The following is a 14,475-nucleotide window of genomic DNA, read 5'->3' on the forward strand; positions in this document are numbered from 1 at the left end:
CGTTAGGTCTCTTCGCGGCCCCAGGAAAAAGAAGGAGGGAAACCTAGGGGAGCAGAAGGTGTTGGGGCCCGGGTCTTGGTTCCTGACCAGTCCAACCTTCCTCCACCAGCACGCATCTATCAAGGCCTGGGCAAGGCGCTTTTTGGCGTGGGACAGGCAGCCGAGAAAGAGAAAAGGAAACCTTTAAAATATGTATTTTATATATATACATATATATAAAATATGCTTTTTTAACACCTTCAACTCTCACGTCAGAATAAGTCACATCTCATTACTTGACGGCTGGAGAATCCCTTTCGGGGTTAGGAAAGCATGAACGAGTTCTGTGGACTTTTGCCACGTGTGAACTGGGGTTATATAGTAATGTAAAGTCGTTCAGTGCTCTGGGTGTGTACTTAGGTATGTGTATGTTGAGGACGCTGATGTTTTAGATATGTCAAGTCCGGTGTCACAACTGCTAATTTTCAGGTGAGCTCATGTCCATGAGCTGAAAGAAATTCAGTTATTCTCACTTAAAATGACGTCCTAGTATATTTCACAGAAAAGTAAACAGACTCTTCGTAGATATTTTTAATACCTGTGATTTGGCATTACTTTGAATCTAATAATAAACATAAAGATTGTTTAGATGTTGCAACTATTAATATACCAGAGTCTGATTTCAGTGGTTACTCTTGCACAACTTTGGACCCTTTGCACAACTTCGGTCATGTAAGCAGCAGTTTGTAGTTGAACTAATGATGTGGCAGGTTCTATAAGTAACTAAAGAAGCATGTTGGCCGGACGCGGTGGCTCACACCTGTAATCCCAGCACTTTCGGAGGCCGAGGTGGGGGATCACCTGAGATCAGGAGTTCGAGACCTGCTTGGCCAACGTGGTGAAACCCCGTCTCTACTAAAAGTACAAAAGTTAGCCGGGCGTCGTGGCAGGCGCCTGTAATCCCAGCCACTTGGGAGGCTGAGGCGGGAGGATCACTTGAGCCCGGAAGGTGGAGTTTGCAAAAAAAAAAAAAAAAAAAAAAAAAAAGCATATTTATTGCTGCCTGAAAGAAAAAATTTCTGCTAGATACATGAGTTTTCAGCAAGGTTTTCTGATGCGTGCGTGCGTGTGTGTGTGTGTGGAAATTGGATTTGTAAACTTTAAAAGAAAAATGCTGTGGTGTATTTGGAAGAAGGAGAATTCTAAAGTCTTCTGGCAAAATTTCATTTAGGCTGTAAAAACAAGATTGGAGAGGAATGCCACATTAACTGTAATATGAGTGGGTTTGAGAAATAGAAGCTTGTGACTGTGGCATTTGGCTATCTCATTAGTGGTGAAAATTCAAATCAGACTTTGCTGGTTGCCTTTTTTCAGTTTTTTATTTGAGGCTGTACTGTGGATAAATAAAGTATTGTGCATGGAGTAGTGGGGCTACAAATCCTAACAAGTTAATGCTCTGTTCTCTTGGAATTTGCTCTTATCCAAAAGCAGTCCCCACGCAATTCAAAGGGAAGACACTTCTTTCTTGTCATTGCTGCTGATACGACCTAGTTCAGGAACAGAATTCTTGACACTGTTATAGTCTGCAGCAGTACTTCTCCCTACTCCAGTTCAGCCAGTGTAGTTTACTGTCAGTTTAGTCATCCTGAAGCATGAATGTCAAAAGGCTACTCCTGTTTGCTCACAATTTTTAGTTTGACCTTCAGTGAACTCTATATTTTAGCCCCTATCTACATTTCTCGCCTTCTTTCCCGCTATTCCCCACCTTGCTTCTGCCATTGAGTCCCAGTGACTGATTTTGGTGTTTTTTTCCTGGGCACTGCTAGTCTCTATTCTTAGAGTGCTTTCCGGCACAATCTCTCCCTGTGGAAGATCCATCAGTCCTTCAAAGTCTTATCTGAGTTTTCCGTAATGCCTTCACAGTCAACATATATTAAGCTCTTATTGTGTGAAGATTTTCACAGTATCCTGGCTGAAAGTGACTACTCCGTTTCTGAATTTATGTTTCTCACTTTGTGTCATTCTTCTGATATTGATCCCAGACTTTTCTGTTGTATAGATACTTGTATAGGCACCTCTATTATGTAGGTACCTATTATATACTTCTTGAAGTCAGAAAAGATGTTTTGTATGGCTCTGTATTTCTTTCAGGAAGAGCGTAGTAGAAGGTAGGCCCTGTATATTTAACTAATAAGAGAGGAGCCAAACAGGCTACTATATTCCTGTTTGTATATATTAATAACTTAACAGAAGTGGTGTCGTTGTTGTTGTTGTTGTTGCCCAGTTCTGCCACCTTCTTGCTTACTAATTTGGGCAAAATCCTTTACCATATTTCTTTAATGCAGAGTGTACCCATAGTTGTAAGATACACTCAGTGTGGCCCTCCCCTAGAAAAGATGACTTTAAAATCAGTAATGTGAGATCCACTTTGATTTTTTAAAAAGTCAGGGTCAAAAACATGCATCTTAGAATGAAGGAAATCACCTAATTTTTCTGTTTCCCTGTTTCCGTAACCTATAACCTTCTCTCAGTATGTGGGATAAAATGAGGATAAATGTGAAAGTACTTTGATTTCTCAAAGGAAAGGAACAATGCACATTTTTCCTTTTCAGAATTCCCTCTTTAATAGAAGAGGTTTTAAAAACTTTTACATGATCATGATGATACTATTGAGCTGTTTTCTTACTGTAAGACTAAATGCAGTTAAAATGTAGCTTTAAATTTTTTCCTTGTTCCTGTCTTGTTTCTGAATCATTTAGTAAAATGTGTCATTTAAATCTAGATGTAAAGTGGAAAGTGGTTTTTAATAAGCAGTTAATTATCAAGCATGGAGAGAAAAAATACGAATCTATAGTAATTTTTCTTCTGAAATTCTAGCATCTGCCAACCATTTTAACCTTATCACTAACCCTCCCTGCTGCTCAACGCTCAGCAAGGTAAACAAAGGCACAGGTTTGGTTGTGTTCTTATTTCTGCTAATATCTGAAGCACTCCTTCTTGTTCTTCCCTATCAAAAAAAGTTATGTCAAAAATTTTTGTCACCTGGCCAACTCCTTTTTATCCATTCTTTTGAGAGTTTAACAAATCCTACCACTCCCTGTTGCATTTTATGCTGGTCCCCTCCTCTCTTCCCTCATTCTGTTTCCCTTCTCTTCAGTCCCAGTCCCACTTACATTTTATTTTTTATTTTTCACTCTTATGTATATACCCACCACTTCCATTTTATTTTATTTTACTTATATTATTTATCTATCTATTGAGACATGATCTCTGTTGCCCAGGCAGGAGTGCAGTGGCACTATCACGGCTCACTCACTACAGCTTCAGTCTCCTGGGCCTAAGCAATCCTCCCACCTAAGTCTTCCAAGTAGCTGGGAACACAGGCACATGCCACCATGCCTGGCTAATTTTTAAATTTTTGTAGAGATGGGCTCTCACTGTGTTGCTCAGGCTGGTCTCAAACTCCTGGGCTTAAGCCATCCTCCCACTTCAGCCTCCCAAAGTGCCAGATTACAAGCACAAGCCACAGCTCTCAGCCCCACTTGCATTTTAAATTATCTTTTTAGTTAGGAAGGTCTTTGCCTTTGTCTTAGATGCCAGGGTACACCATTGAGTGTCAGATTTATTTAATAGTTAAGTGGATGGATCCTTGAGGGGAGGCACTAGGTGATGTTTCAGCTGAAATTAGAATGATGAGTAGGCACCGCCAGAGTGGGCATGGGGGAATGTCTGGTATGTAGTTGAAAGTTTATTTCTGGCTCAGGAGAGAGTAATCTGGGATAGAGACTTGGGAGCTAATAACATAAAATGGAGTCCCTATTACCTGAGAGTTCATTTTCTGAGCTTTTGAAATTACAAGGTTATGTAGGGAAGAAAAATTCTCATGATATGAAAATAATTATTAATAAGTTATCACCTTAAAAAATTAACTACTCAAGCTTACTTCTAATTCCCATCCTCCTGATTGGCGTAGGGGCTTGCTGATCATAATATAGTTCAAATTAGTTGCAAAGTGAAATTATGTATCATGCTAAAATTGCAAGCATTTGTTTCTTTTTTTTGAGATGGAGTTTTGCTCTTGTCACCCAGGCTGGAGTGCAGTGGCGCCATCTGGGTTCACTGCAACCTCCACCTCTTAGGTTCAAGCGATTCTCCTGCCTCAGCCTCCCCAGTAGCTGGGATTACAGGCGTCTGCCCCCACGCCCAGCTGATTTTTGTATTTTTAGTAGAGATGGAGTTTTGCCATGTTGGTCTGACTGGGTCTCGAACTCCTGACCTCAGGTGGTCCACTCACCTCGGCCTCCTTAAGTGCTGGGATTACAGGTGTGAGCCACCGCGGCAAGGCAGCATTTGTTTCTTTGATGCAAGTGATTTGGAGCATTGGTTCACATGCAAAACCATTGACAAATGGGGATCTGACAAAGTTGTCCTCCTGGAATGAAGTAGGTGGTGATTGTTCATTGAATGAATTGACAGATGAAAGCTTGGATGTAATGGTGGGAAATACTAGTGTTCATGGGGCACATGGGGAAAGTTATCAGCATAGTAGGCTAACAAGGAATAATCAAAAGAGCAAGAGAGACCTGGGCAGTACAGTGTCATGGAATCTGCAGAGAAGGCAGATCCCAGAGAGGGAGTGGTTACCAGTGTCATGTGCAGTAGAGGTCAGGGACTATTGGTTGAAATGGTAGGAAGACATTAGTGCTTTGACACAGTGTTTGATTCAGATGTCAGTGAGGGGGAGAACTAAGGTGTATTTTCATTTATGTTGTTAAAAAACTGTGGATTTTTATATATGTGTAAATAAAAAAAGTCCCAAGACTACACACTTAACCGTTACTTCTGGGGAGGAGAGTAGAATTATATGCTTATATTGATTACACTGAAAGAGTTGGTGTTGGTGAAATGGGGCTTTTTATATTGTAGGGTCCTCCTACTTTCTTTTTTAAAAAAAAATTTAAACAATATCACACATAGTATTGGTGGTTTTACAAAAAGAGTTATTGGGAAGTTACAAGTAGAACCATGCATGGGTTATTTTATTGAAGAATAAATGTGAGTGTGTGTTTGTATTTTAAGATAGGAGAGACTTGAGGTTGAAAGGTTAAATACAAGAGAAGGGGAGGTAAGGAGCAAAGTTGTAGAGGATTTGGGGAAGGATTGGGGAAGGAAGGGGATTAGATTCTCAATAGCTCTAGAGAAAAACAGAAGGAAGACCTCTTCCTGTGGGAGACTCAAATTTGAGTTTCTTTAGATTCTTGTGAATCACTGGAGTGTTTGTTTAAAAAAAAAAATATTCAGCAGCCCAACCCCTAGAGATTTTGATTGACTAGATTTGAGGTGGAGCTGAATGTTGCAAAACCTGCGGCCAGAAGTACTAGTCATTTTATTTTATTATATAAGCAGATTTGTTAGAATTACCTTCAAAAAACAACCTGGGAAGTTCAGAGGTAGAAAAATTCTATTAAAGCTTTTTTATTGAGATGTAGCATGCATATAAAAGAATATATAAAATACATATACACAGTTTAATAGTTTTAAAGAATAATGATAAACACCCATGCAAAAGGACTCCACATTCTTTTTCTTTTTTTTTTTTTCTTGAGACAGTCTCGCTGTCACCCAGGCTGGAGTGCAGTGGCGCAATCTCAGCTCACTGCAACTTCTGCCTCCTGGATTCACGCCATTCTCCTGCCTCAGCCTCCCGAATAGCTGGGACTACAGGCGCCCGCCACCACGCCCGGCTAATTTTTTGTATTTTTAGTGAAGACGGGCTTTCACTGTGTTAGCCAGGATTGTCTTGATCTCCTGACCTCGTGATCCGCCCGCCTCTGCCTCCCAAAATGCTGGGATTACAGGCATGAGCCACCACGCCCGGCCAAGGACTCCACATTCTTACATATGTCTCTTTCTCAACCAGTTTTCCACTGGCCTGAATTTTATATTAATCCTCCCCTGCTTTTCTTCATAGTTGTATCACTTATGGATTCCTAAACTGTATTATTTAGTTTTGCCCATTTTTAGATGTGCTTAGCTGTTTCATTTATCAAATGAGAGCTGAAACATATCTTTTAACATCATTTACAATTTAGATGATATACTTTTGTTAACCTTCATTTTTTTTTTTTTTTTTGAGACAAGTCTCGCTTTGTCGCCCAGGCTAGAGTGCAGTGGCGCGATCTCGGCTCACTGCAAGCTCCGTCTCCCGGGTTCACACCATTCTCCTGCCTCAGCCTCCCAAGTAGCTGGGACTACAGGCGCCCATGACCATGCCTGGCTAATTTTTTGTGTTTTTAGTAGAGACGGGGTTTCACCATGTTAGCCAGGATAGTCTCGATCTCCTGACCTCGTGATCCGCCTGCCTCGGCCTCCAAATTTTTGCTTTATATATATTATTGGTAGTCTTTCAGGATTTTTGACTAGCTCTTTTCTGTCTGTTTTCTAACCCAGTTTATTTACTACTTCCTCCCCCTAATATTTATACCGTGCCTGAGACTTTATAGTGAATCATAGAGGCTATTGTCCCTGTTGTTCTCATTCCTTTTTACCTTTCTTAAACTCCTCTGGTGACTCTCCCTACTCATCTTCTCAATTGGTGTTCTGTCCTTTCTGTCCCATGCCATTCCTGTCCAGCATGAAAGTTTCTCTTTTATCTCCCCAACTGCTTCCCTCCTTCATTTTAATTCTTCAGCTCTCCTCCTCTTGCAGTAGCCAGTCAGTTTGATGTTTTATTTGAGCAGACCCTAATTTTGCCATCTCAGCTGTTTTTCCCTTTCCTTCTGGCCCAGCTGTGCTTACTTCATTTGTTATTCTCTGCTCACTTTAGTCTATGAGGCTGTGTCCTTTGCTACAAAAGATGCAGCCATATGCAGACCTCTCTTGTCCCTCTCCTAACTTTACATTTTCTAAAAGAAACTGTCCCATTTGATTTCATTAGCCTTGATTATTTGCAAGTTTTAAAATACTCTAGTTTTAGCTGTTACTTTTCACTTGTAAGTAAGAGATCCCTGGCAAAAAGGTTCTAGATTCTCTCTCCTGTAATGCACACATAGTAGCCCCCTTTTAATTTCTGCAGTGTTTCTTAACTCAAACTATTAATATTTGGTTCTCATCCATGGAAATGCTGTTTTAGTCACTCTCCGGGGAGTCCCAGACATCAGTATTTTTAAAAAGTATTGTTTGTATTGATGGTAGTACTGTAACATTCCACTGCTGGTAAGCCATGGGCCTTTTTTGCTTATTTTTCTAAAATTGATTCTTCTTTTTCTGCTGCCAAGTTTTCTGCTTTGGGGGATTTTATTTAATCCCTAAGGTGTAGCCAGACTGAATTTGTATGGAATTCTCCATCACATTAGCTTTTGGCATTGTGGTCTGTATAGCAGATTCTCATGAGTAATCCTCCACACTTTTTATAGTTCCTACACCATATCAAAAGCTTATTATCTGTTAATTCTTCAACAGATACATGAGATTACTGTTTTACAGATGGAGAAACTGAGTTGTGTCATTTGGGGCAAATTATCTTAGTAGATGGTTGATCTGGTTTGGCTCTGTGTCCCACTCGAATCTCATCTCAAATTTTAATTTCTGTAGTCCCCACGTGTTGAGGGAGGGATCCCATGGAAGGTGATTGGATCATGGGGTCAGTTTCCCCCATGCTGATCTGGTGATAGTGAGTGCTCATGAGATCTGATGGTTTTATAAGTGTTTGACAGTTCCTCATTCATACTCTGTTTTTCTCCTGCCGCCACGTAATATGTGCCTGCTTCCCCTTCTGCCATGATTATAAGTTTTCTGAGGCCTCCCCAGCCATGCAGAACTGTGAGTCAATTAAGCCTCTTTATAAATTACCCAGTCTCGGGTAGTATCTTTATAGCAGTGTGAAAACGAACGAATACAGTGGTAGAACAAAGATCTAGGGGTGTCTGACTCCACGGGCCATTCTCTTGATTACAGGGTGGTCTGGCTCCATTCCCCTTTGCTCTTTCTTTCCCCATATCTTCTGAGTTTTTACTTTTCATAGCCATAATGTAGCTTTAGGTTTCTCCCAGTTCTCACTTTAAAATATTCTCATTTTCAGGTATAGCTGAGAGTCACTGTGTTTTTAGCCAAATCTAAGGGAGAAAATGAATATTGATAGCAGCATGCTGTAGCCAGCTCCTTAAAGGAAGGATGGTGCCTGGTACAGAGTTAGAGTTAGTGCTTCAGTAAATAATGAATGTGTGCTAGGTAGGTTCTGCTGGGTAGGCTGCATGCATTGACCAATTTATTCCTCCTTGTTTCAAAACAGGATTTAAGGGCACTTATATATATATATTTTTTAGTTTTTTTAATGTAAATGAGAGAATAAAGATATATATATATGTCTATATATGTATATATGTATATATATGTCTATATGTCTATATGTATATATGTCTATATGTATATATGTGTGTGTGTACATATATATATATATATATATATATATATATATATATAAGTTTTCTGTTGCTAGCATAACAAACTACCAGAAACTTAGCAACTGAAACAACATGAATTTATCTTACGGTTCTATAGTTCAGAAGTCTAACGTGTCACTGGGATGAAATCCAGGTTTCAACAGGACTGGGTTCCCTTCTAGCTCATTCAGCTACCTGGCTCATTCAGGTTGTTGGCAGAATATACTTCCATGAAACTGTAGGGCTGAGACCCCGTTTCCTTCCTGGCTATCATCTGAGAGCTTTTCCCGACTTCTAGAGTCCACCCACCTACCCACATCCCTTGGCCCATGGCCCCCTTCCTCCATCTTCACAACCAACAACAGTGGGTCACGTCCTTCTTGTGTCTCATCTTTCTTGTTGGGCCATCCCAAGTCTCTCTGTTTTAGGAAAGGTTTTCCACTTTTAAGGACTCATGTGATTAGATTGGGCTTACCTGGATAATACATGCTAATCTCCCCATCTCAAGGTCTAATCTTAATCAAATCTACAAAATCCCCTTTGCCATGCTAGGGTAAAATATTCACAGGTTCTGGGGATTAGGATGTTAATATCTTTTGGAGGGCATTTTTCCGCTTACCATAAAGGCCTGCATTAGTCCATTCTCACACTGCTATAAAGAACTACCTGAGGCCAGGCATGATGGTTCACGCCTGTAATCCTAGCACTTTGGAGGCTGAGGCGGGTGGATTGCTTGCGCTGAGGAGTTCGAGACCAGCCTGGGCAACACGGTGAAACCCCATCTCTACTAAAATACAAAAAATTAGCCAGGCGTGGCGGCATGCGCCTGTAATCCCAGCTACTTGGGAGGCTGAGATGAGAGCATCATTTGAACCCGGGAGGGAGAGGTTGCAGTGAGCTGAGATGGCACCATTGCACTCCAGCCTGGGCGACAGTGCGAGACTCCATCTCAAAAAAAAAAAAAAAAAAAGAAGTACTTGGGACTGGGGAATTTATGAAGAAAAAGAGGTTTAATTAACTCACAATTCCACAGGCTGTAAAGGAAGCATGGCTGGGAGGCCTTAGGAAACTTATAATCATGGCAGAAGGTGAAGGGGAAGCAAGCACATCTAGCCATGTCAGACCAGGAAAGAGAGAGTGAAGGGGGAAGTGCTACACACTTTTAAGCAACCAGATCTCGTGAGAACTCACTGTCACTGAGAACAGCAAGGGGAGGAATCCACCTCTGTGACCCAATCAGCTCCCACCAGGCCCCTCCCCCAACATTGGAAATTACAATTTGATGTGAGATTTGGGTGGAGACACAGAGCCAGACAATTTCAAGGGCTAAGGAGCAAATGGTAGAAACAGTAAAATAAGATCAGAAGAGGTTTAATTGACTCACAGTTCTGGAGAGCTGGAGAGGCCTCAGGAAAATTACAATCATGGCAGAAGGCAAAGGGGAAGCAGGCACCTTCTTCACAAGGCGGCAGGAGAGGGACAATGGAGGAAGGGCCATGCCTTATTAAACAACCAGATTGGCCACTCCCCTAGCATGTGGGGATTACAATTCCAGATGAGATTTTCATGGGGACACAGAGCCAAACCATATCAGGACATTTATACTCAAAGTCTATGATATGAGGTGGTGTAGACTTCTTTGAAGTGGTCACTGAATTTAGCACTAACCAGTGCAAAAAGACAACCCTGCTCATTTACCCTAATCATAGTATCCATTATTTTTTTTTTGAAGTATGTTCATGTATATACTTAGTAACTGCTGACATTGAGAATCTTGAAAGAAGCTTTGCTTCTGATTCCTCTTAAAAATAATACAGTATAGCGAGTGTAAATATACAACTGCTTTTATAGGGCATTTTCTCTAGAGGCATAACTCATTGAATCTATGAGGAAGACACCATTTTATAGGTGAGGAAAGGGACACTGGTTATCACATACAGTCTTTTTGTATACAGCTAGTAACTGACCAATATGGAACATGAACCCAGGTTTTTCGGACTCCAAAGTTCATGCTCTCTTCCCCATATTACAGTTCCTGATTCCCATAAATTTCACATCAGACCTCTTCTGTTGGCTTACTGTTTGGTCTGTTAAGTTTCTGTGAGAGTACATAGCCTTCAATTCCCTTAAATAGGTAGGACCTCCATTCATGCATAATAGTGCAGAACTATCCTATATAAAAGTAGGATAAAGTACTTTCTCTGCTATTTACCAGCCATGTGACTATGGGCAACCCATTTGATCTTTCTGAGTCTTTGTGTCGTTATCTATAAAATGGGAATGAATAAATGATATCATATGTGTAACAGTGACTTGAATAACAAATGATTATATCTTTTTTATCCTGCTTCTTTGAATGTTACAATAATTTCCCCATATGCATTTGAAAAATTCACCCAAATCTGACCAGTGCTGTATAGTGTCTAATGCTAATAATAGCAAAAACATAATTTTTTTTGCCCTCTGTGTGTTCTAATATGTTGATCGTCCCACTGTCCCCCACTTAGCTTGCTTGTTTTTGACCAGCTGCTACAAGAATAACAAGCATGTTATCCTTGATTCTAATTGTTTTTTTTCCTACCCTGTGTTGGCGTTTTTATTTGTTTGCATCAAGTTGTTTTATGGCAAGTTTCTTATGTTATCAAGATTCCTTTTATTTCAGATATCTATATTTTTGGCAGCTTTGCTTAATTTAGAGTGATTGGCCATCCAAGTCCACTTATGATTTATCTTGTTTAAGAGATGAGGTCTCACTATGTTGCCTAGGCTGGTCTGTCAAACTCCTGGCCTCAAGTGATCCTCCCGCCTCAGCCCCCCGAAAGTGCTGGGATTACAGGTGTGAGTTACTGTGCTTGGCTCCTGGTAATGATTTAAAAGACTCGGTAGGATTTTGTTCTGTGAAGGAACAGAAACGCACTCCAGCTAGCTCAAGAAAAGAGATTTATGATAAGAATTTAAAGAGGGCTTATAGTAATCCAAGTAAAACAGTGTAACAGATCTTGGGCAATTGGCTACTCTGAAGTTTTTGTTTTCTTCTCATGGCTTCTCTCTTGACCCATTAAGCATGTTTCTTTTTTTTTTCTTTGTCTTTTTCTTCTTTTTTAAAAAATCTTTTCATTATTGATTTCTGACTTTATTACACTTAGAGACTGTAGGCTATATGTACTGATTCTTCAGTGTGTGAGACTAATTTTGTAGCCGAGTACTTGATTGGTTTTTGTACATGTTCCATATGTGCTTGAAAATATTCTTGTGTGTGTAGTGAGTTCAGGTTTCCGTACATGTCTGTTAGATCAGACTTGATATTAGCGTGGATTATATCTTCTATATAGTCTTTTGTCTACTTCTTTTTTGACCTTTGGGGAGAGATGTTAAAATCTCATATTGTGACAATGGATTTTTCTTGTTCTTCTGTCAGATTATTTCTCCCCTCCCCGCGTGAATTTGGGGGCTAATTTGTAAGGTATTTATGACCCATACATCTTACGGAGGAGTTACTCCGTTGTCATTAGGTTTCCCTTCATTTGTTTCTTAGTATGGTTTTTTGAATTCAGGTATTTGATATTAATTTTGCATATTTGGTTCATACTTGCTTTGTTTAGGAAGTAAACATTACACTTGACTCTGAAACTTTTTTGCTCATTACTTTGGGGGTTTATCTATATTAATACATTTCATTCTATTTTATTGATATTAATTGCTTGATTATGTTCTGTTGTTTGACTATACTGCAGTTTTCTCCATTCTTTCACTTATGGACATCTTAAAGTTGTTTATTTTGTTGTAAAAGATGATACTCCATAGATTATTCTTGTGCCTGCCTCCTTGAGCTGGGTGCTAGAGTTTTAGAAATAAATCTTGCAGCGGATTTGTGGGTGGAAGGTGTATACATCTTTGGCTTTACCAGCATATCTAAATCTCTCTCCAAAGTAATCAGTTGACTCATTCTGGTTCTGTGTCACCTTTTTTTTGAGACAGGGTCTTGCTCTGTCACCCAGGCTGGAGTGCAATAGCATTATCATGACTTGCAGCCTCTGCCTCCTGGGCTCAAGGGATCCTCCCAGCGTAGGCTCCCAAGTAGCTGAGGTCACAGGCACATGCCACCACACCTGGCTAATTTTTTTTTCTTTTTTTTTTTTTTTTTTGAGAGAGAGAGAGTCTCGCTCTGTCACCCAGGCTGGAGTGCAGTGACACAGTCTTGGCTCACTGCAACCTCTGCCTCCTGGTTTCAAGCCGTTCTGCCTCAGCCTCTCAAGTAGCTGGGATTACAGGCACACACCAACACACCTGGCTACTTTTTGTGTTTTTAGCAGAGACAGGGTTTCAGCGCGTTGGCCAGGCTAGTTTCAAACTCCTGACCTCATGTGATCTGCCCACCTCAACCTCTCAAAGTGCTGGGATTACTAATGTGAGCCCCCATGCCTGGCTGCTCCTGGCTGATTTTTAAATTTTCTGCAGAAATGGGTCTTGCCATGTTTCCCAGGCTGGTCTCCAACTCCTGGGCTCAGGTGATCCTCCCACCTCGGCCTTCCAAAGTGTTGGATTACAATATGAACCACCATGCCCAGCCCTTTATCACCTTTTTTTTAAAAAAGGCCTATTTTTTAATGTAGCCCATTTCTATATTTTTAAAAATTTCAATCTAGGAGTCTGTATTTTAACAGGAGAATTTAATGTTTTTATATGTATTGTAATCACTGATGGATTTGGGTTTATTTCTACTATCAAGTACCACCCTGGTTCAGTCATATAGACAAAGATCAAGGTGTAGATCACAGGCATGCCCACTTGTCATGGGCTTTTGGGTTTAGACGGGCACATGTCTTGGCACAGGAAACAATGTGGTAGATTTTCCAAGCATGTATAGGTCACCTATTCCTTGCAGGCCAGTAGAGAGATTACTGAAGAGAAGATACCTGCCACTAACTTACTAGTGCACATGAACAATTAATTTAAATTCTGAAATTTTCTGTTTCTAAAACAGGTATAGTACCTGCCTAGTGCACCCTATAGGGTTATTCACCAAGACTCAGGGTTTTGTTTTGTTTTTTTCCCCTAGCTTTACAGCTGTCTTTAAAATTTAAGTGTCAGTCATGTGTTTCCTTCATTTATTTACAGTTGATATATCAGTGTCAGTGGTGTATTCATGCTTGCTCTGCTGCCCCAGCATTATTAAAATTGATGGATGACCCTTTTGCATTTGTCCTTCTTTAGAAATAGCTACTATGTAGTCCTCGCTGGTTATTTTAGCTTAGACACCACTCTTGAAAATTTTCCGAGAGCCTGGTATTTGTAATTAGCATATCTCGATTAATGTGGTGTCTGTACTGTTTACTTGTGACCTCAGTAAAGTTCATACCTCTTCAGTTTTAGTTTTCTCATCTGGAAAAACCAATAGCAATGCCTGGATTATCTATACCTCACAGGATTTTTGTGAGCTTAAAGTAAATAATATGTGAAGGTAAGGTGCCTTGTAAGCTGCAAAGTGCTTTATTAATAGTAATACCTTAGAGATAATGTTTCCTATCTGTTGAGCATCCTAAAATTTAGTGGGGTTGGTCTTGCCTATAGAAAAAAGCTGTTCACTGTGCTGATCATGTGTTAACCACAAAATGGCTCTCCTTGATTCTATTGTCCTCCATGACTCAATAAAAGAAAGTTCTTTTCCATCTCAGATGTCTTCATAGTCCACTTGAGATTGAGAAGAATATCAAGGAGGTACTGTTTTTCACTAGTCTTCAGGGAAGAGAAGGGAAGGCCAGTAGTCATCTTCTACCTTGATTTTTTTTTTTTTTTTTTTTTAACACGGATTTTCGCTCTTGTTGCCCAGGCTATACTACAATGGCGTGATCTTGGCTCACTGCAACCTCTGCCTCCTGGGTTCAAGCGATTCTCCTGCCACACCCTCCCGAGTAGCTGGGATTACAGGCGCGCACTGCCACGCCCAACTAATTTTTTTGTATTTTTAGTAGAGACAGGGTTTCACCATGTTGGTCAAGCTGGCTTCGAACTCCTGACCTCAGGTGATCCACTCGCCTTGGCCTCCCAAAGTGCT

At 40.4% G+C, this 14,475-nt stretch overlaps 1 protein-coding gene across 2 annotated transcripts in view, besides 1 other annotated feature; it reads left to right on the top strand.

Annotated features, from left to right (window-relative positions):
- The window catches only part of RAB2A (RAB2A, member RAS oncogene family), a 106,735-nt gene that overhangs the window by 688 nt on the left and 91,572 nt on the right, over positions 1 to 14,475 (top strand). The window lies entirely within an intron of this gene.
- Positions 634 to 823: an enhancer, noted in NCBI's record as "active region_27423". NCBI's record gives its function as "activates an Ori minimal core promoter by ATAC-STARR-seq in GM12878 lymphoblastoid cells {active_cell/tissue: GM12878}" and the evidence as "EXISTENCE:reporter gene assay evidence [ECO:0000049][PMID:35858748]".

This window comes from Homo sapiens, chromosome 8, assembly GCF_000001405.40.
Source record: "Homo sapiens chromosome 8, GRCh38.p14 Primary Assembly".
Taxonomy (NCBI): Eukaryota; Metazoa; Chordata; class Mammalia; order Primates; family Hominidae; genus Homo; species Homo sapiens.